The sequence below is a fragment of the Homo sapiens genome, chromosome 12 (assembly GCF_000001405.40).
Source record: "Homo sapiens chromosome 12, GRCh38.p14 Primary Assembly".
In the NCBI taxonomy this organism is placed as follows: Eukaryota; Metazoa; Chordata; class Mammalia; order Primates; family Hominidae; genus Homo; species Homo sapiens.
The window spans coordinates 23,615,821-23,639,652 of record NC_000012.12 but is presented as its reverse complement, the minus strand read 5'-3'; the positions used below and the strand labels follow the sequence as shown (position 1 = coordinate 23,639,652).

Sequence of the window (23,832 nt, the reverse complement as noted above, 5' to 3'; positions counted from 1 at the left end):
ATCTGTTTTCTTTGAGCTGGAAATGTCTTGGGAAGTGTTGGAGCTGTGGGGACAATAAAAGTAACATAACATTTGTTACCCTTTGAAATGAGATCTGGGGAATAACTATAACATGAAAAAGTGATTGTAATAGGTAAAGCTAAAAAGAGTAGTGGAATTAGCAAGAGGGAATAATATCCAGCAATAGATTTAAATATAGGAATAGGGGTTTTAGAGATTTCAGATGTTGGTTTTCAAAGCAAGTTAGACATTCTCCTTTGACCATTGGATTAGCGATGAGAGGAAGTGAGAGCAAGTTAGAGGCAACTCCTATGTTCATTGCACGACTCTCTTCGAAAGTAGCTATGTTAAGCAACAATCTAATCAACTTTTCCTGTAGAGACAGTGGGAGAATATTTGATGCTAATTTTTATTTTTATACTATATGAGATTTTTATTTTTATAATATATGAGATTATCTCAAGATATTAAATATCTTGAGACATTAAGATATTAAAATATAAACAATTTTGTCACTGAACAAGAGAAACTTTAGACACCAAACATATATGTTCTTACTTTAACTATGATTTGAGATGTAAATGGGATAAAGTTCCTTTCATAGAAGTGGTATTGTACCCATTAAAATGCATGAGTTTTAGAGCCTCAAATAATCCTGTAGTATAACAAGAAAATTAATAATCCAAAATTTTTTCATGGAAAGCCATCAGCTACTATTAAAACACATTTACATAAACATATAAAAAAGTTGTTTTTTTTTTTTTTGCAGTGAGAAAATAACCGTTATTCAGAACAAACACATGCCCAAAGCATGTCGTATCAGAGAACCTGGCTTTTCTTTGAAGTGGACTGACTCTCACTTTTGCTAGGGTGCTTACACCAACTCACTTTTCTACTTGTTCCTAACACAATATTCACAGACCCCTTGACCTTGACTTCAGCCTTCCCCAGAGCTACACAGGATATCTGTTACTCTCCCTCCCTTTGCCTTAAAATAGCATCAAAATTCTTTTTTCTCCACAAACCTGCTGAGATGGGTGAGAGAAAAGCTAACTACAATGCCTAGTCAGATGTTTTATTATAAGCCTTACCTAAAATTCACCCCAATCTTTGAAACCTATTTTTGAGATGTTTCATCTCAGTGGAGTATAATATATGGACTAGTTTTAATTTTCTCCAAACTCTGCTTTTAATTATGCTCTGTTAAATCTCTATTTTCCATATCTTAATATCTTGAGTAGACTGCATCACTTTCCAGTCCTTTCAGTTATTAAAATTCAGTCCTGCTGGAAACTTTAATCTCATATCCATTTCATATCTCACTGCTTCCCCTTCCATCGTTAGTCAAGAATCCCAGCTCTAGAGACCAGAAATAAGAAGGGTGCAGCTTACTCTTTTGCTTCTTCAGCTCCAATTTTGTTCCTGTGCAGATGTGGGTGGGCTTAGGAAGTTATGTCTGCCGTGAGATACCGTGGAAACAGTGTGTGTGTTATTTTCTTGTGTATTGAACAGCTTTTCTTGGTCTGTTAAGAGAGGGGTGGCCAGGTCTGTTGATCTATGCTTCCTACTCTTTTTTTTTTTATTTGGGGTGTCACCACTATTGGCCAGGAGCTACCTGGGTAACATGACACCTGCCTTTGTTCACCCTCTGTGCTGCTCCATGGAGAAACCTGTAGTCTTCTACTGAGGTCCTCTTCTGTGCCCTGTTAGAGCTGTGGTGGTAGTACATCGCAGTCCTCCTCTCAGCCTGCAGCAAACACCGCATTGTTTTCCAGCAACCCACCTCCGGCTTTAGAAAACTTCAGAAGAGAAAACAGGCATTACTGTGTCTTTAGTTACATAATACACCACCAAGCTGTACACTGTCCAGTTCTCCTAAGACCTTTCTCACCACACTAAGGATGGAGGAGTCTTTCGGTTTTTAGCTCAACAAAAAGCCAGTTGAGGAACAACATTCAAGTTTTTGCTTTATTCTGCCTTCTCCAGTTTTTGCTTTATTCTGCTTTTTGGGTAAGCAGGGAAGACCACTAAGAACCAAGCCACCCTGTAAAGCTGTTAACCCAATCTTCTCTCTCCTCAGCTCCCTCACCAGACATCAGCTCATATATATTGTGGGAATGGAAAGATAGGGTGGGAGGAATGAGAGAGAGGTGTGAGACAGTAATGAACATTGACTGAAGTAGGGCCAGGTCAGCAAGGTTTTAATGAGGGGAGTATGGTTGGTGGTATGGGTGCTGTCTAGTACCAATTGCTGATGTCTTTCTTTAGAACCATTGAAGAGTTTGTTGTTGTTGGCTTGTTCTCACTCGTTTTCTGTTTTTGTTTAATCTGTTCGTGTATGTTTTAAGTAGGTAGTGATAAACTCACAGCTATACTCGATAAGGCAGCAGTAAGATGGGTTGAGGTAACAGTAGGAAGACCAGTTGGAGGAACAGCTGAAATAGCCTTGCCAAAGAACTAGTGGTTTTCTGAATTAATCTTTATTCAATGGTAATGAGAATAATGTGGAGGGGATATATATTTTAAACACAAAAGGATCCTGTTTTCTTTTCCTTGGGTGCAAACATAATGATTTTAACTCATGTAAAGTGCCGTAACAACTGATGTCACTAGTTAATATCACCCATGGTTATGGAATATTTTCTTAAGCTAGTTTCTCTGGTAAAGATTTTCCGAGGATTATCTTATTTAATTCATATTACGTTTTGTGTTATGTATTAATATCTCCATTTGACAAAGAAGAAAGCGGGGTCACAGAGTCCAAAATCCATGGCCTTTGAACAATTATATTTGCTTCTTCAAGTACAGGAGACTTTATGTTAAACTTTGGAGGCATTGCCCTTCTTCAGACATTTGGTAACTCATAACCAGCTAATGAAATTATAACAATAATGCTGACTAATTGACATTAATACAAATACTCTGTGTGCTTTGCAATAATGAAAGAAGTAGCAGGATTCATAATGACAGCTGTCTACTTCGGACTCTGAATTTTCTATTTCATGCCTCTTTACATGGATATATGTTAATTCAGGTACTTCTTTTTGAACACCTAGATTAAATAAAGGACATTATAAATCTATTCCTACTTATGGTTGACTTTGTTTACCTACCATATGTGTTTTCATTTGAAATAACCTTTTGCATATAATTGTTCAAACTTGGATAATATTATGATAAGTAAATCCAGAATTTTTATTAAAGAGTGCAGACAAGTACAATTATTTTAAAAGACAAGCAAAATGATATGCTTTAAAGCAAACTACTGTTTATTAACTATTATTTTATGTCCCTGGAGATCCTTATATAATAAAAAATTGTTCATGTAGAAAAATCACCTTACTGTGTACTTTCAGAAGCAGTTAAAATATTCTAAAAATCATCATATATATTTGTTATTTAATGGAGAAAATCAGCTTAATCTAGTTCATGTATATAAATAATACAAATTAGCATGTGCCATAGACACCATTTATTATTTTAATATTAAATCTGTCTTTTTCTTTACACATTTTAAATCTCCCTTGAGCTTCAATTCACATTAGCCAACTGCTTGTTGACTATGAAGAGGAAATATACAGAAATTCACAGACACTGTAAACTGAGTCCAAAATGGAACTCATCAGTAGTTGTATGCCTTGTCCCTAGACTTCCTTATTCTTTGGTCTTAGTGAATGACTCCATTTCATCTATTTCTCAACCCAGAAACATGAGAGCTCTTCTTAGCTTCTCTTCCTCCCTCTTCCCCATAAATTTATTCATTCACTAGCTTTTCATTCCACCTACTAATACACCAAGAATCTATCCACTTCCTTCCATCATAATTGTCACTCATTTGGGTCGAGCTATCCTTATGACTTTCCTAATTCACCACAGCAGCCCCTAAACTGGTCTTTCTATCTTGATCTTGCCCCTTTCAATGCACTCTCCACTATGCATTAGTCAGAATAATCTTCCTTTTTTTATTTTTTTAAATTATTATTATACTTTAAGTTCTAGGGTACATGTGCACAACGTGCAGATTTGTTACATATGTATACATGTGCCATGTTGGTGTGCTGCACCCATTAACTTGTCATTTACATTAGGTATATCTCCTAATGCTCTCCCTCCCCCCTCCTCCCACCCCACGACAGGCCCCGGTGTGGTGTGTGATGTTCCCCTTCCTGTGTCCATGTGTTCTCATTGTTCAGTTCCCACCTGTGAGTGAGAACATGTGGTGTTTGGTTTTCTGTCCTTGCAATAGTTTGCTCAGAATGATGGTTTCTAGCTTCATCCATGTCCCTTTCTGATTTTAGAAAATTTTGTCATGTCCTCTTCCTGCTCAAGGACCTTCAATGACTCTCTGGTGTTTTGAAGTTCTTTCTCCACCCTGGATCTTTACAAGTGGTGTTTTCTCTTCCTGGAATAACCCCAGGAAATAACCCCATTACTCACCATCTTTACTAATCGAATCCCACTTACCCCTCAGGTTTCAGGTTAAAACATCACTTTTTTCAGGGAAGACTTCATTGGTCTTAAGTCTGGCTTAAAGTAGTTCCCGCGTGTTCTGAGAGCATGCTGTATTTCCCTTCTCACATTGCTGGTAGAATGTTTTAAATCATACTTTCTAGCATCTACCAGATGGTAAAGTCTGTAGCATCAATGGTTTACCATCATTTGCACTTAACCAAGTGCTTGAAATATTTTATGGACTCAATAAATATGTGTTAAATAAAGAATGAGGAATGAATCTTAACAATGTATTTTCAATAAATTATTCATCTATTTTGCTCAAATAGCTATCTTGCTTTATAATATTGAAATTAAGCTGAATACTAATAATTAGTTTTCTATATTAATTAATCACCTTTTAAAACGAGACAATAGCAGAATTTCAAATATCAAAGGCATGGTTGGCTGATAGAAGAAAAAAACAGTTTGAATTTGGTTAATTAAGATAATGTTGAAATTTTATAATAAACTATTCTCATTTAATGAAATAAACATATGAAAACACTCTCTGTGCCTGGTAGCATGTTTGGCACTACAATGTTTACAGACATTAATTTTGTAACTGTTTTGCTCCACATCACCTACTCAGTCTATTCCGGATACATTAGGCTGTTTTCTGGCCCTTATCTTACCAAGGCATACTCCCTTCCTAGAGTTTTGTGCTAGCTGTTCTCTCTAGCTCTTTCCTCTGCATGGAAGGCTAATTCTTTCACTTCATTCATGTATTTACTCTAATACCATCTCTCTGAGGCCTACCTTAACCAACCTACTTAAAATCGTAAGGTGGATCCTAAGAGATAGCACACTTCCTAGCTCTTTTATTCTACATTTTTCTCTATAGCACTAGTCATCTTCAAATATACTATAAAATGTATTATGTTTCTTATTTATTGTCTTTCTTTTCCAAATGTACCGCCCCACAAGGACAAGAATTGTTGCTGTTGTTCAATAATGTATCTCAGGTATCCAGAAGAATGCCTAGCAAATAGCAGGTATTCAGTGCATACTTGCAAATGAAAGAGACTATCATGGCTAATGGTCATAAGAATTTTTAATTAAAAAAAGCAGCATATATTGATTTCTGCGTTAAATGATATTAATTTAATGGCCAGGGAACTTGATGTTTTTTCTTGCCCCCATTGGAAGATTCTAAGAGTATGAAAAATCCACAGCTCTCTGTCTCTCCTGCTCTTTCTTCCCTTTATCTTACCATAACAGTGGGTTGCTGCATAAAGAATGTGTTTTAGCACTTATTACAGTTTATGTAATTCTTTTAAAATCATTATAATTCACAATAAAAGACCAAATGTTACAATACTTGAGAATTCCTATATTATGTGATAGTGTGTGTATAGACATATATAAAAATATGAACTACTGGAGGTACTTTTATTTGACTCATGGCTTATTCTGCCAATACAATACTGAAGTAAATTATTTCTAAATAATGGAAGGATGTGTTTATCAAAATAATTACTAGCCAATTAGCAGCTCCATACACTGAGTTTACCTTCTCTCTTCCTCTCCTTCCTTCTTTTTTTCATTCTTCTTCATCCTCAAGTACTCTTTTTTACCTCCAAGAGCCAATGATGATTTAGATATTTACTTATTTATTATACTGATGCTGACTCTTTTTAAAGGCGAGGGGTTCATTTATATAGCTTACTTATCTATGTTCATTTTAATATTAAAAATGAATATCACTATTTACACAAAACGAAGTTACACTTTGAATTTTTGGACATTTGTGACAAGATAAAATCAGCTATGTGAATAATCTGTTTCTAATTAATAAGATCAAATGATGGCAACAATCCATCTAGCATTTATTTCTCATATTCATTTTCGTTATAATTTGCATTTTACTTAATGGGCATCATGAATATTTTTAATAGTAATAATTCTTCTGTAATGTACTGTTTCTGTTTTTTGCTACACTTCTAAGATTTGAAATTGGAAGGAAATATTTATCCACTTACTTCTCACTTTATAAATACTGTATTTGTCTTGGCCAAAAGATGGTTGCCACCTGTTCTACCTATAGGAAGCCAAAAATGTTGACTCCAACCAATGATTGATAGTGATAAGCAGAAGGAAAAAAAGATTGAAATTCTTTTTGGATGATCTTATTTAATTCAAAATAAGCAAGTAGCATCCAATCATCATTTTTATTGACTTAATTAAACTTTTAAAATTATTTTAGTAGGACTATTTTAAAAATTCATAATAATATTTTTGGAATAAAGGCTCAAAATTCCAAGTTGTCATAAATGAAACCTCATGGGCTTACAGCTTCAGTAACTAGTAATATTAGTAGCATGCATTCTCTGGAATAGAGAAAATGATAGATGATGTGTGATCATGTTAGAGAATGAATCATACAAAATATCAACTGAAATCAATCTTTTTTCATAGCAATCATAGGTATACGAAGTAATATTGGAAATGGCTTAAGCTCCTGTCTGATGGAGAGTAACATCAAGGTAGAGGTAGATGAAATACTGAAGCTCATCTTTTTATCAAACTCCTGCCAGTCTCTGAAGAAGGTCAATAATTATGACAGGACACAGATAAAAGAATGCTCCATATTTCCCAGCACTGTGAGTGACTGAGCATGGCTTTATATGCTTGGCCAAGAGAAACTTCCAGAAAATCAATAAGGAAGTAATAACCATATAGAAAAATCTAGATGTGAGGATTTTTATCTTGTTATTGAAGGAATTACTTACAAGGATGTATACTTGTTAAGTGTTCATCTTTACCTACCAAAATACTGTACTACTCAGTTAAACTTTTAGGTCGTATCATTTTCATACAGGGTGAATAATGATCAACTGCTCTTCATTTCAGTCGCAACCCTGGTGTGCTGTTTGCTGTTGGACTTCTGTCTGCATGAGTGAGTTTTCTTGCAGGTTAAAAGACTGAATTCCTTCTTTTCCTCTCCCTTCGACCCTGAGCCTGGAGGGCAGACAGACAGAAGCACACATATGATTAATACAGCACAGCTGCAAGAGTGAGTCATTTGCATATGTATTAATAGAGGCAAAAAAACCCCAACAACAATTAAATTATATACAGAGACATTTTGCATACTAAAGAACATATGCAAATAGGCCTGAAAAAGTGCAGCCAACATTTTCTCTGACTTTTCCAAGCCCATATGGGCTAGAGTCAGAGCCCAGCAGTTTGTCGAGAATCCCCTTTAAGGAAGAACCTATTAGGAACTGCTTCCATAGTTATTACCACCCCTAGAGTTCCTGGGAGGTGTTGACATTTGGACAATGGAGTCAGTACACACAGTGTCTTTTTCATACTATTTCTGTGTTTTCTTGCTTTCAGCAGCTTCATGGTGTCTTATTACATGCTGACAGAAACATCAGTACACGTGTGTTTTTCCAAAGTATTCATTTTTATTGTAATGGTCGATTAAATAAATGGTAAACTTTAAAATTATATTTGAAATTTTGTTATTACCTATACTAAAGCTATATAACTTCAGTCAGTGCCAGGTTTTCTGGTCACAAGTCCATGCCCATTCCTTGATAGTATCCTGTGTTATCTTAATCAAAACATGTTTTAGGTAACTTTAAAATGTTTCTGGGCTAATAAACATACATAAAAGAACTGCTGTCCCAAGACCAGCAGTAGATGTAATTCTATGAGCAATACCAATTTATTGAAATTTTTAAAGTATACTTTTTTAAATTTTATCAAGAAAAACAGAAATATTCAGTTTTCTAGTTTTGGCTGTGGATAAGAAGAGAGGGCAACTAATGTGTTTCAAGTTCACAGATTATGTTTATCTTAGAAATTTGTTCTTCAGCCTAATTGTTGGTTTAGTTTATTTTACTAGTATTCTTTAATTTATTTAAGGAATATTTTATGAAGACAAATTCAATCTTCGGAGTAAAATTTTACCTAAATAAGAGTTATCACCTTAATAGGACCAATGACCCATGTGAAGACAGATGCATCTTAAGAGGAACAAATGCTGGGGTTTTTGTTACTGTTGTTGTTGCTGTTGATACTAGAAAACTATTTAATATTATCCATGGATTTTTATCCATTATTCGTATGGTTTAGTCAAAGCATGCTACTGGGACATACAAATTGCATTACATACAACTTGTAACATAGGGTGGAGTCTTAATTAAATATACACAGAAAAATGTACTTAATTATGTATAGATACACACACACAAATTTAATGTCTTAGGGGATAATTAGAGGAAAGATAAAATGATGAAAGCAATTTTATCTTTTTAAGCTATTGTCTTTAGATTAATCTTTTAAGAAGCACTTTGTTTAGTGAGAGGCAGTATAACATAATGGTTATAAGTGTGGTTCTTGCAGCCATCTCTTCCTTAAATTATCATACTGTTACTTTCAAGCTCTGTGACTCTGGGCAAGTTACCTAACCTCTCCATGCCTCAATTTTCTTGTCTGTAAAGTGGGTATAAATGACCTCTTATTGTTGAGGATTAAATGAAATAATGCATGCAAAGTCTTGGAACAATAAATGTATTATTTCTCAAATACCATGTGCTGGATTTGAGTTAATATTTAATAGTATTAGCTGATTAATAATTGTTATTAGTAGATTTGAGAACTATTTGTTATTGCTTAAAGGAAGTCTTGAAAATTAGGGCATGGCAGACTTTCCTTACGTTTCAGAGCAGCACTAAAGTGTGTTAATAAAACTGAGACAAAATGTCTTATTTTTGAAGAAATAATTTCATTCATCTCTGTGGTATAAAATAAAGGCCCATCGCAAGAATCTATGGGAGGCAATGAGTTTACTTATCCAGAAGACAATCTGGGCAGTTACATGAAGGGTAGTTTTTCATATTTTGCTATGGTTCGTTCCTTGTTACAATATTTATATCTGTAAAATGAGAATAACATCTCCAGTCAATTCCCATTTTTCCATGGAGGTAATGCAAATGAATTGTTTCTATGTGCTGCCTCTAACTATTCTAAATAAATTTCTTACAAAGTCTAAAATAAATTATTTTTACATAGGTGCTTTTAATGTAATATGCAACTTTTTTATAAATCATATAAAAATATTTTCTTGTATAGCCATTCAAAGCTTATTTATTTCCTAGGTAATAGATACATGTCCTTGATACACTAGGATACATGTCCCTTATTCCACCTACATGTTGTCTACAGCAAAATTATTTCTTGAATTGAGAAAATTTTTATTTGACCAAACAGTTTTATTTCAAACTTGAATATGAAAGTGAATTATTTTTATAGACCCATAGTATCCTGGAATCTTTATTTATTCAGCAAATATTTATTCTTTGTAAGCTATTGAGCTAAGCATTATAAGAAATGCAAAGATGAATCAGTCAAGGATCCTTGGTGGATGATAGAGGAGGTTGAAATGAAAGAGAATGAATGAAATATGAAAGTGGAATAGAGTTTGAAGAAAGGCAAACAACCTATCATTCTAACAAGTGTATTTGAAATGAAAAAGACCTCACAGATGGTTGAAAACGTTGTTTCAAACTATTCACCGGACTCCAAGTATGTTCAAGCACCCTCCAGATAGTACCATTGACTTTTATTTGTTTTATATATTAAGTTCCACTGGTTAAAATTGTTTGAGTTAAAGATTTCTGCTGCTAAGCAAAACTTAAAAACCATTCTTCTATTCCAGCTCCTTAATTTTATGGATGAGGCAATTTAGACTCTAAATAGTGACCTGGCTAAAACAGATATTAACAAAAGGGTGCCCGGAATCCTAGCAACTGAAAATTAAATCTACCTTCTTCCCATTTTGCCATGATATTCTTAAAAATAAATGCATATATTTGTATATGTTATTTTTAAGTTGTTTCGTTTAAAAGGATAGGAAGAGAAATTGTTAATTTTGCACTTAGGCCATTAAATTAAGAAAGAATGAATAAAACAATGGTTAGGATTTGCATATTGGTAACAATGGCAACCTTCTGAATTGCTTTCATTTTGCTGAGTTCAGTGATTGTGCTCTGTGAATTAATTCTTTTGTGGAAAGCTATTGAAAGATCAAGGAATTTAGAAAACAAAACAACAGAGAAGCGTGCTGTTTCATATCTATTTGTACATAGAAGGTTCAAAGTGAGATTGTTTACATCACAAGTCTTGTTGACATTTTATTTGCTTCTTAGAAGAAAGATAGTATTCAAAAATGATTATATAATCATGCAGATAAGACGTTGCAGTCATGAATGAACTGTTCTGAGAGAAGGACCAAGAAGAAAAACCACATGACAATTTCGAGCTGGGTTTGGTTGGCAAGTGTCTTCACAAGACTTGAAAATAGAGCCCTATTTGATTCCTACAGAAAAAATAAAAATAAAAAAAAAAAGCTTAAGCCAGCCCTGCACATTTCAAATTTGCTGTTTCCTGTGGAAGTTTCAGTATTTTCCTGCCAAATTGAGGGTACGAAAACAAGAGGAAAGGGAGGGATGAACTCTAGTTTTTCCATTTTTCTTAATCTTGACCTTTCTCTTAATGCCGTACTCCTTTTTCTTATCCAACTGCTCCTTGAATGAAGAAAGTGAACAAGGAGAAACGGAGGAACAGACTCAAAGTATGCTCACAAATTATTTGCTACAGTGAGCTTTGGGGCAGCGTAATTAATGCCTCTAACATGAAAATTACAACAATATTATGTCTTGCTTTCTCTACTACTAGAACTTCTTCAACATATAATTTTAAAAGTAATAGTGTTAGTGAAAGTTACAATTACTTCCTTTATGGAGTGAAGCAGAACTATAGAAAATATTGTCCTTTCATCTGTAACAGTTGCTTAAGGTAACAGAGACAATTCCATCCGAAATTTCACTATACTGTAGCATATGACTCCTACTATTTTAAATATGTGCTCCAAGTATTTTTCATATGGCTAGTTCCCCACCCCCACACCTGGTTTTCATTCTTTGGTTTAAAAGAAATTTTAAATTATTAGGAATAGTATAACTAAAATATTTGATTAACAGAAAGGAGATAAGCAAAGACACTTAACCAAACAACAACAAAAAAAGTTAAACCAAACAATAAAAAAAGTAAACGCCCTTACACATTCTTTATTTTTATTCTTGTTTTGGTTTGATTTATGCTGCTGCTGGTTTTCTTCCAGAGAAATTTTGAATTTTGATGTTTTTGTGTGACCTAAGATACAAGCCTAGCATTAAATACAATATAAAACCATAAAATATCAAGTTTTTGTACATAGAATATTTGCACGGTAACCAGTTAGTAGTATACTAGTATACTGAGAGTGAGTAACCAGTTAGATAACTTTCATGACTTGAGGTGTTTTTTTTTTCCTTTAAAACATGCTCCACTAAATTTTATTTAAACATTTACAAATGTTAAAACTTACAAGTAATAATATTTAAATGGTAGGTTTGATATAATGGGTTATGAGCTTGAGCTCTAGGATAACACAGGCCTTATTTGCATGTATCTTTGATCAAGATATTGAATATCTCATAGTCTCAGTGTCTTCACCTGTGAAATGAGATACTGTTATTCCTACATGATAAAGGTGTTGTGAGGATTAAATGACATGGCACACACGAAATACTCAGCGTAGTGTAAGCATTCAGCCTCATTAGCTGTTATATTCATCATTATCTCCTAGATTCAAGGGTATAAAACTGGCAAAGAGCCTATCCATATTTCAAGTTAGCAAGTAACTTTCTTGGATGCAGAAATTATATTCTGCAGTATAAAGGTTTAAGGCAAATAGAGAAATTCATCTTAATTCAAGTTTCGGTTGAACACCTTTGGAAGCCAAGTCCTCATATTTAATGCAAGCAGAACGTCTTTATGAAAACAAAATATCCCTTAAGTATAAAAATCTTTTCTTCTGAATGTCAGATTACAAAAATGTATGTTTCAATTCTTACTAAAAATACAAATAATCTATGTCTCTCTTTCTTTCCATTCCGTAAAAGTTACTAGAGCTTTGCTTTAATAGCACTGACAATTATTTGTGAAAGGAACAAACATTCCTCTTGGAAGGGCAAGCCATTGTGTTACTGGAAATTTGCAGTATTTGTCATAATAAAGAGAGTTTTACAGCAAGAATGAATAATTAGGGCATTATAAAGGCAACCAAAATAGCTGGCCTACCTATGATGATCCATTCTAACCTCCCATATTGCTCTACAAATACAGCAGTGAATTAACGCATTTATGCCCGGTGTTCCGTTATTGGAATGCTAAGCTTGTGGGAGTTCTTTATATCCTACTGCTTAAGGTCATTGCCAGTGTCTTCTTTTTCACACACAAAAAAACTGCAACCTCTGGCATAAATGGATTAAGGGTTCTAGTCTCAACCTGCCTCAGAAGTGATGTATGAATCTGGTCTCATGTCTTTTAACCTACTTAGCACTCAAGTTTTCTTATTTGTTAAATACCTATAAGTATAGCTATCTACCTATATCTCATGGAGAAAGGGATAAGATAAAAAAAAAAAAAAAAAAAGCACTAATGAAAGCAGCCAAGAGCCCAGAAATCCCCAGAAGGAAACTCTGCACCTTGTGAGTGGACTTTCCTGATTCATGGACACATTTATTCATGTGCTATCAAGGAAAAAATGGGAGAAGAATAATGAGGCAAGCATTGATTTGAGGCATTCGAAAGAAATGCTTTGGAACCTTGAAAATTGTCAAGCCAGCACTGAAGATCCAATTAAGCAGGAAAGTTTTAATTATTCTCATTCCATCTCCATGGAATAAGAAGGAAGATGAGCAGGTCAGACCAGGGCTAGATAACCCAAGAGACAACCTAAGAACATTAAGAACATGATTACACATGAAAAAGAAGGACCATCTAGAAATAAATAAGTAAATGACAAGTTGGACATAAAGTAGTTTCATAGCAGAAATCAGAATGCTGTTTTATTTTGAACTGCATAGCCAACTAGATGGACACCATATACTTTTTGGTCCTTAGGGCTTCTAAAGATTTAAAAATAGGAATTTCCAAATATTTACCTTTCTGTTCCTATTTCTTGACTATCTCTCTCCGTTTCTCTGTCTCTTTCTTTTTCTCTTTCCTTTTTTCTTCATTTTTTCCTCTATTTTTAACTACCTTCCTCTGTTAATTCCTCTTTACCTCTTTCTTCCCCTTAACTATTTTCTTCAATACTTTCCTCCTCTCTTTTTTCTTCAAGTTCTAGCTATGTTTTTATTCTCCCACAATTGTGAAACAATGGAGGGACTGTCTTCTTTAGAAACATTTGCTTGAGGCCGGGCGCGGTGGCTCATGCCTGTAATCCCAACACTTTGGGAGGCCGAGGCAGGCGGATCATGAGGTCAGGAGTTCAAGACCAGCCTGACCAACATGGTGAAACCCCATCTCTATTAAAAATACAAAAATTAGCCGGCGTGGTGGCAGGCGCCTGTAATCCCAGCTACTCAGGAGGCTGAGGCAGGAGAATCATTTGAACCCAGGACGCAGAGGTTGCAGTGAGCCAAGATCACGCCACCGCACACCAGCCTGGGCAACGGAGCGAGACTTAGTCTCAAACAACAAAAAACAAAAACAAATATTTGCCTGTTGGCTGAACAATTCTGTTAGTAATCCATATGTGAGCACATGAGTCAAGAGCTGGAATTGGGGATTTCAAGTGGCAAGGATGGTGGATATCAAAGAAAAAGATATCTGGGATTGTTTTGTCTAAATATAATTGATAACATCATATATATTAGAAGATACAAGCCTTCAAATGTTTTCATCCATATTTCATCTCTTTGTATTAATAAAGCCAAATAACTTTAAAGAGAGAGGATTCCATTTAGACCGTAACACCAGTAACAGCCCCCACTTTCACCCACTCTCCCATTAGAATGAGATGTTTTCAAACTGTGTTTCAGAGATTGGGAAGGAAGTGTGAGTTCTCTTGGCAAGGAAAAACGTAGAGGTGGAAGCACAGCTCATTATTTTTGTACTCAGAAAGTACTACACAATTGGTTTCTTAGCATCAGTTGAAATGGAAAGAATTGCTTTACACTTTGTTTGTTTAAGAGTCTACTATCATTACGTTATATTCTTATTATCTTAAATGGTGTATGGTGAACCCTGACTACCTGCTCTCCTGCACACTTAAAACATTTGCTATTCATTCTTTATACGCATATGGTATATTATACATATATAGGGATCAATCTAAGTTAGCTAGTGTTTTAGAAAACCTTTATAATCTAAAATGGTAGCAAATTCCCACTTTCTAACTCCTTCTTAGGAAGAAAGGCCAAAATGTTTAAGAATTAAAAGTCAAAGTTGTTGAGTGAGATCCTTTTTATCTTGTTGCATTTGTATCTTTTGTTTTGTAATTTCTAAAATTATTATACAGTAAAATTGGCTATATTTTGGATGTACAATTCTGAATTTTCACCACCTCTGTAATCAGGATATGGGACAGTTCCATCAACCCCCAAAATTCTCTTGATCTCCTTGACAACCTCAGAAAGCAATTCTCCAATCTCCTCCTCAGAAAGTCTAAGCCTGGCTGATAAGACAGTGGAGTTTGAGCGTGGGCTGGAACCAGGTGTCTTACATTGTAATAGGTGTTCTTTCGCTCCCTCCATTTTATAACTGCTTTCAGTTCTGTTTAGTGTCTTTCAATCCAGCATTTGCTCTAGAAAGTAAACACTTGGTTTTCTCTCTATATTACTCCTCACCTTATTTTGCTGAGGTAAATTTCTACTTTTAATTTTATTCTTAAAAATTTTAATTGTGCCCTAAAACTTTACTAATTTGTGTGAATCCTCTGTAGGTTTCTTTTTATCATGGTAAAATATGTTTAACATAAAATTTACCATATTAACCATTTTTATGTACACAGTTCAGTGGCATTACATACATTTACACTGTTGTACAACCATCACCACTACCCGTCTCCAGAACGTTTCATCATCCCAAACTGAAACTACATACCCATTTTTCAACAACTCCTCATTCTCCCATCTTCTCATCTCTGGTAGTCAGCATTCTACCTTCACTCTCTATGAATTTAACTGTTCTAGGCACCTCTTGTTACTTAATCATACAGTATTTGGCCTTCCATATCTGATTTTATTCATTTAACATAATGTCTTCAATGTTTATCCATGTTGTAGCATGTGTTAGAATTCCATGCCTTTTTAAGACTGAATAATATTCCATAGTATCTATGTACCACATTTTGTTTATTGATTCCTCCATCTATGGACGTTTGAGTTATTTCTACCTTTGGGCTATTATGACGAATGCTGTTATGAATATTGGATATACACATATCTCTTCTAGATCCTGCTTTCAGTCCATTTTCGGTATATACCCAAAAGTGGAATTGCTGGATCATGTGGTAATTGTATGTTTCTTTTTTTATGATTGTTATCCTAATGGATGTGAGGTGATATCTAATTGTGATTTGGGTTTTCATTTCATTAATTATTAGTGGTTGAGTATATTTTTGTATGTTTATTGGTCAATTTTATACCTTTTTTTGTAGAAATGTGAATAAGATTATTTTTGATAAAACTTCTGAGAATTGATTCCTAGATAATATTTGCTTTGTAATATTTCTCACTTTAGGTAGGTCTTTTATATTTCTTGAATGAAAGAGGGATAAATGAGCAAGTAAATGAATAACACTGTTTCTAAGTACCATCTAGAGCATTTGAGTCTTAGTAACCACTAGATTTGCTACTTGGGGCTGGGCTACATCTTATAATCTAGAAATAAGAATAGTAATATTTCCTGCCCCATGGTATTGGTATGCAGATTAAACAATGTGCAAAACACTCTTAACACAGTAGCATATCAAGATCAAATTAAAATTTGCTAATAAAAATATATCAGTGTTTATAATTATCTAATACATTTGTCTTATAATAATACTTAAATGCTTTATGCTTCTGTCTCTACTGTTCATATGTTAGGAGTACTCTTTTATAATTGAAATATTTTTTAAAAGCATAAACTTCACAGGATCTAACTCAGTACCTTTCAAAAAATGTTTTTGCTGATTGAATAAAAGAATGGATGAATGGCATATGCATGTGTGTGCCAGTCTCCTGCACACACACAAACACAACTTTGTTACATTTGACCTGTATGGTTTAAAAGTTTCACCATGTTGTTTTTCTCATTACTACCCTTGAATCCAAAGTATGCATTTCCTCAAACTCTATTGGATTGATCTTTAAAGAATGTTTAAGTCTTCTGGAAAGGTATCAAGTTAAAAAAGAGGTGGCAAAAGTTTGTTTTTTATTTTTAATGGCTAAAATAATAGACTATAGATGAGTTTATCTGAATTTCGTTTCTGATTTTCTGACTTATTCTGTGGCATTAACAATACCATATCTCTGATTTTCTGTCAATAAAATAATAGTAATAATATTTACCAATTAAATTAATGATGGTATAGCATAGTATTTAAGTAGGATTTTGTGAATCTTTTATTAAAGTTTATGGAAGTGTGATGTACCAGATCAATGGTAAGTTGACGCAGTGTTGATATATTTTAATGGGTAAATTTTCCCAATTATGTGAGATAAAATGCTACTGGAAAAATATTTGTTTCTTGTACTAAAATATTTTCACTTCACATCTGATGGATTTTTCTTCATTTTAAAAAAATCACCCTTTTTATTTTCAAATTCGCTGAGATCTGAGTTTGGAGTTCACATACTGATATCAACCAACCATTGAAGTGTAGGATCAGAAAAGGAATAAGTGATGATCCAAATAAAAAAGAGAAATATTAGATTTTTTTAAAAAAGCTAATTTGTCACTTCACTCATTGGAATATGAACTGAATAGACTTCTAGCCCTTAAAATACTTTTTTTTTTCTCTTTTTATTGCCTGGAATCTTAAGAGCTTTATCATTTGCAGTCATAAAATGAAAATATACACCAAACCCTCAAAGGGCAAGTATGAAATTAAATTATATTTGGGCAGCTGTAACCTTTTAAAACGATCAGATTCCAGTTAATGTATTTCTTCCTGTTCCAAGTGCTGCCATGGTGTTTGATGGTGGGAAGCAGTCCAAAGGGCATTGGGAGATAATAAATTCACTGTAAATTTCACCCCAAGGCATGTCTCGATACACCAAGGCCTCCATTTAGCAAGGCTGACCTAAAACTCTTGTCACATCCAAAGGTCATTTAGGTTGGGGTTGGTGTGTCCCATCTATCTTTCCTTGATGTAAAGAGTGACAGTTGAAACAGGATTGAGCTCATAAACAGTCATCTGAATATGAAAAAGAAGCTAGCTTTGGAGTAGGAAGGGAAAATGAAGAGAGAACTACCTTTTACGGTGTGACTAGCAAATGCCGTGGTTTTTGCAAAGTCAGTGAAGGGTGGGTTGATCTCATAGCTCTTGTTTCAGAGCATTCTTTAACTTGGAAGGCATTACTGGATTTGGTTGATTTAGGATCTGGTACTCTTTCCTCTTCTATTTATATTTGTTTCCAAAGCTGGGTGTATGTTGAGTATTTTTTAAAGAATCTAATATTTCCAACCTTCTTTTACTTTGAAATCACAATATTTCTTCCCCCCTTTGCACCTGTTCTCTTTAGTTCATATACCAACACATGGGAATAAAATAGGAGGAAATTGTTGTAGAGAAATAAAGCCTAATGTGGTCTTGGAAAACAGTGATTTTTTCTAACGCCCTCTTAATCATGCACTTTTTTAATTGTAAAATATAAATAACATAAAACTTACATTTTAACCACGTTTAAGTGTACAGTTCTGTGTAGCATTATATACAATGTTATATAACCATCACCACTGTCTGTGTCCAGTACATTTTCATCATGCAAAATAGAACCTCTGTATTTATCAATTATTTCCTATTTCTTATTTCCTCTTCCCCCATCCCCTGATAAGCTCTATTCTACTTTCTGTCTCTGTGAATTTGCATATCCTAAGTACCTTGTCCTTTTGTGTCTGGTTTATGTCATTTAGCCTAATATTTTCAAGGTTCATCCATGTTGTTGCACGTATCCCTCAAACATATACTTTAAGAATGACTTTAGTTCTCTCAAAAACAACATTTACTTATAAATGTTAAGAATTGTGGATGTATAAGTTCTCAATTATAATAATCATAACTAATATGTAGTGTCAAATAGAGAAATATTAAACAACTATGTGACAAATAATGAAAGATTAAATTCTTGCAAGTCTTCTTGGGAAAAAGTTTAAAAATCCTTTCATGAAAGCAGAGATAATTATTTACTGACATTTTCTAATTATTTAGAGTAGTGCTTGGCACATAATAGGTCCCCAATAAATATTTATTAAATGAATGCATCAATTTAAGGCAGGAGAGCAGAAGTTAAGAGTTGTTTCTCTGTATTGCTTCGTTGGTACGTGAGAAATAGGTCCTGTGCAATTGAAAATGAAGCCTATTGTGATCAAAAAAGTCAATGAAAGTAAAAATGAATTGTAAATGCAAGGTGCTATTGGAGTGTGTTATTGTTATTTTAATTGATTTATGAGTTATATGTGTTGGGGTAGTGAAAAGGACTCATTTTTGCTATACCTTTTTCTTTTTCAAATGGTCTAGAAAAATCGAGGTTGGCCACCATGAATTTACTCAAAGCATAGAGTTTTATATGATTAATTCTTCATATAAATTATACAAGAAAGAGGAAATATTTAAATAAAGATGAGGCTCAGAATGTTGAAAATTATATATATAGATTTATTCTGTAATCGATTTTAAATCTGTAAAAATGTGATTAGGTAGATATTACTTCAATTAAAAGTGGGTTGTAGGTGAAACAAACCCTCCCAATCTATTCTCCATATTATGTCTAGACTAATCTTGTAGAAATAGAAATCTAATTCTGTCATTCCTCTTATTAAATTACTATATATTCCCATCTACCTTTGTAGACATCTCTCCCACTGCACTGCGTCTCACTGGCTTCTTTCTGACACTACAAACTTGTCATGTTTCCTCCCAGCACGTAGTTTTTCTGCCAGTTTTTTTTCCTCCTGTATGTATGTAATTATATCAGCTCATCCTTCTGACCTCCAGGTATTCATAGTTACAGGAAAGTCTTTCCTGATTTGCCTGCCTGTAGTGTAGCTCTCGCTTGCATGCTCTTAGAGCACCATATACTTCTATTTTGTAGTATTTTGCACATTTGGGATTTTACTTTTCATTTGTGTAATTATTTCATTGATGGCTTTCTTGTTCTATGTAAGCTCTATGGAGCTAAAGACCTAGAATGAAACTGGCATTTTATAATTTTTTTCCATGAATAAAAGCATGAATGATAAAAGATAATAAGAAGTATAACAGCTTTCTCCATATTGCATTACCTTGTTTCCTACAATTACTTAAATGGTTAAAATACATATCAAATTGAGAAGAAAACCACACTGAAGCGGTTTTTACTGGCAGTAGCCAAAAGGAAGTAAATGGATGAAAGATGCCAGGAAAAATTTCCTGTTGGACACTTCACATTTCTTTCTTGTTCTGCATCCCCAATACTATCGCTTTTTATCAGAAGAGCCCAGCCTCCATAAAAGGTGCTTTCTGAATTACCCTTCCCAGGTTTGTCTCTTTGTTTCAGAGCACACAAACCCTACTACTGTATTAAAATGACCAGAAAATAGATTCCTAAGACATAGGCTAAGAGTTAAGAGCTCTGTAAAAAGTCAAAAAGATTTGGATTCCAACTTCAGCTTGATCTCTTACCTATGCAACTTTGGACAGATGACTTTTACTCTTTCTTGGCTTCAATGTCCTGCTCCATAAAGTAAAAATAATACCTATTCCCTAAGGTTGTTGAGAAGGTTCCAAGAGATATGACATGGACATGTCTCACAGTAAGCATTCTATAAACTTCAGCTATTATGATTATTATTGCTGCTGTTATTCTCTGTCCAGATTTCCCCTGAAATGTAGTTTTATTTAGCATAATTTGTATACTCAAAGAGCCAAAACTAATATTTGTATGTGATACTTTCTTAATCTTAAAGGTTTATGAGGGAAGGAGGAAGAAAAAAGTAAGAGCGGAATCCGTAGGAAGCAGTCCTTTTTTAAAACCTCTCATATGTGTTGTTTGTTAGTAATAACAGCAAAACAAAACAGCAACCAAAACAACAACAATAATAGCAAACTTAAGTGACTTTGTGGTTTCTTCAGGGAGCGTTGAGTTCTGCTACTACTGACTCAAGAAGTCTTTCACTCTTGAAGCCTTTAACCCTTGGCCTTGGAAACTATTATTTTTGACTCAGAGTTCAGGGGAAATTCCTTTTTTCACTGGCCAGCAGGTGGGGGATTCCACCTCTATCCCACTGCAAAAGAGATGAATTTAATCATAGAACATTTTATCTGGAAAGTGTTTTCCCATAGTAGCATTACATCACAGAAGAATTTCAGGGCCACTTGGACTTCTGATACTACCAGTTGTTTAACCTTTGGCAAGTTATTGAACCACTGTTCAATTCGTTTTTCATCTTTCTCACCAAACTCACAAAATTGTTATGGTGATCCCTGAAATAGTATGCAAGCTTCTAGCAAAATGATTAACATATCGTAGTCATGGAGAAAATCGTGGTTCTTGTACTTCCTCCCCTTATGTGTTTCAAGTATTTGCAAGCCTCCAGCAAGTATGTACTCTGGAAGTATGTTTTTTGACATGCAAAATAATATGTAGTCTGATTTAATATGAAATAACTCAAATTGTCTTTATATTGAGTTAGAATGCTGTTTAAAAATGGCTTGATTACTACCCCCCAATCTGTTGGGATACACTGAACAGTGATTTCACAAATATGAACTTAGCCAAAGACAAGTGTTTGCTTTAGAACTCTTTCTGATAATACTGTAATTCTCATAATACCCAAATTAAATAATGAAATTTAGTAACCACAGAAATTTTTCTCCTGATGAACAAGCATTTCTCTTCTTACCGTTGCTTTGAAGGGAATTTCAGCAATATTTTTCCCTAAATTAAACTAATTAAAGATATAAGTATAATCACTGATACATAGAGAGATCTGAAGAGCCTTCCAGCCAGTGTCCTTCTTACCTTGCCAGATGGAGATGTATTTGCTGGTTGGTGACCTCAGGAATAGATGCAGAGTGTTCATCCTCCCACAGTAACAAACAGCAAGTCTGGAGCGGCATAAAAAGGGTCAATCGAATAGGTCATACATCATATGGGGAGGCAGATGTTGGAACATATTGTAATGGATTACTGTGCAGTACACGAAGATGGCTTATGGAGTAGAAATACAGGGAGGGAGTGAGCGAAAGAGAAACTATCAGTTGGGGTGTTCTTACATGACTCTCGCAAAATATATCTGGTTCTTTAAGGAACTGCTTCAATTATAAAAGTCAAAATGTTTTTTTTTTCTAGCTGTTTAAGATTTATTGGTGTGTAATGAAGAAAGCCTTTTAAAACCCCGTGCATTTGAAGTGTTTCTTATTTATAGGCTTTAGTATCTGCAGTGTGACAGAGACAGCATGAGAGCATCATACCTGTGAAAAAGGTCTTAAGATTTAAGTAAGTTCAAATGTATCTTTAATTTTTAGCAGGATGCTGTCTTCACACCCTCCTAACACTCCACCCCTCATTGATAGCTTCATATTCTATCCAAGTATCACACTGAGTAAGACTGAATTTGCAATAGAAAAATCAAGATTGTCTATGTATTATTAATATTTGGTGATAGCAGCTTTAAATAAATTACATTATATCTTCTGTACATGTATTCACTATAGCTTTTTAACAGTAAAACCCAAACTATAGCCAGATGTAATTATTTACTTTTGTATCCAAGCTTTTCCAAGTTATATCAGGCAAGAGTGATATTTTCAAGGAAGTGTGGGTCATAATAATAATTTATGCCTTGGAGCCCATACCTCCAAGCCCCCTATTTCACCAAGCATGCTTCCCAGTGGCTCACCTGTTTTCTCTGAAGGCAGAAAATTTCATTTCTGAAGTTGGTAACATTTTTCCCCTGATGGCTTATCCTCCTGCCATCTATCTTTTTTTTTTTTTTTTTTTTCTTGAGACAGAGTCTTGTTCTATTGCCCAGGCCTGGAGTGCAGTGCCACAATCACAGCTCACTGCAGCCTTGAACTGCTGGGCTCAAGCAATCCCCCTGTCTCAGCATCCTAAGTAACTAGGACTGCACATGCCATTATGCCCAGCTAATTTTATTTTATTTTTAAGTTTTTGTTGAAATGGGGTTTCGCTATGTTGCCCAGGCTCGTCTCAAACTCCTGCCCTCAAGTGATCGTCCCACCTTGGCCTCTCAGAGTTCTGGGATTACAGGCTTGAGCCTCAGCAGACAGTCACTAACCTCTGGTGATACCAACTAACTCTTCAGCCTTTTGAGGCCTTTGTCCACTCAAGTCATTTTCTTGCTTGACCTGATAATTCAAACCCTTATACACCCAACAACTGCAACTTTGTTTTTTCAATTATGCTCCACTGACATAACAGCTGTTAGCTCTCCTTCATATGGACAAATCTATAGCAAGTCTGAGTTTGTTCATTCTTTCACTGTAATACATTTTTTTCTTGCCATCAAGTTTCATTAGAATTTGTGTACAAATACAAAAGATTTTAAATCTCTCAGATTATGTGTATGTGAAGTTGCTCCTCCCGGTGACTCTATTCCTTAGTATACCCTTCCTTACTCCCTTCAGGAGGAATTCTTCCCCAACGGGGACTCCAGACTGGAAATTAAGTGACAACCCTTCCCACTTTCCTCTAGGCACCTTTCCCCAATCACTTTTCCCCCATGGTCTGTGATAGAACTGGGGAAGCAGCAGGAGAAATGTTTCACAATCCCAGCCTCCACCCACTTCTGTGGATTAACCACTTAGGAGGTTAGCGGAGAATTCTTTCCATCTATTCTCTACCCCTGTCCCTTTCCGCTCAGGTTTGACCAAGAGTCTCAGTCCTGAGAGCTGGCTGTCAGCCCTGTCTACTCTTCATTTTTTCCAGGCGTCACCTTAGTGGTTAATGAAAGTCGTCAATGTTCAGAGTCCTACCTTGGCATGCCCAGTATTCCTTGACGGATACAAAGAACACATATCCCTTTAGAACCCTCATTGTACCTCTCCTCTGTTAGGATTTTTGAAAATTAAAGAATAAAAAATTACTTTTTGTGTAAGTATATAAAAAATTCATTTGAGAGGTAACTATCTATATGTATTACCTTTTTCCACCATTATGGTGTTTATTATTATGAATATTTTGATAATAGCTATACAGTACTATTAAACTGGACTCTTGCACAGTCTCTCTGATAGGTTTTACCCTTTAAAGTCAAATTCAAATATATAAAGAAGTTTTACCACTCAAT

At 34.6% G+C, this 23,832-nt stretch overlaps 1 protein-coding gene and 1 long non-coding RNA gene across 43 annotated transcripts in view; one reads left to right on the top strand and one right to left on the bottom strand.

Moving 5' to 3' along the window:
* SOX5 (SRY-box transcription factor 5) overlaps positions 1–23,832 on the top strand; it is a 1,033,147-nt gene that overhangs the window by 922,998 nt on the left and 86,317 nt on the right. Inside the window, exon 10 of one of the 42 annotated variants that reach the window (XM_047429466.1) lies at positions 7,345–7,507. The exons of the other annotated variants lie outside the window; for them this stretch is intronic. Coding sequence (XP_047285422.1) covers positions 7,345–7,419 — 75 coding nt within the window. The 3' untranslated portion in view covers positions 7,420–7,507. Of the gene's footprint in view, positions 1–7,344; positions 7,508–23,832 lie in introns of those variants that run through there. 42 annotated transcript variants of the gene reach the window in all.
* Positions 1,717–7,331, bottom strand: LOC105369697 (uncharacterized). Its single transcript, XR_001749445.3, has 3 exons — positions 7,261–7,331; positions 4,850–4,899; positions 1,717–1,799 (listed from the first exon to the last, which is right to left on the bottom strand). It is a non-coding gene; the product is annotated as an uncharacterized LOC105369697 (long non-coding RNA).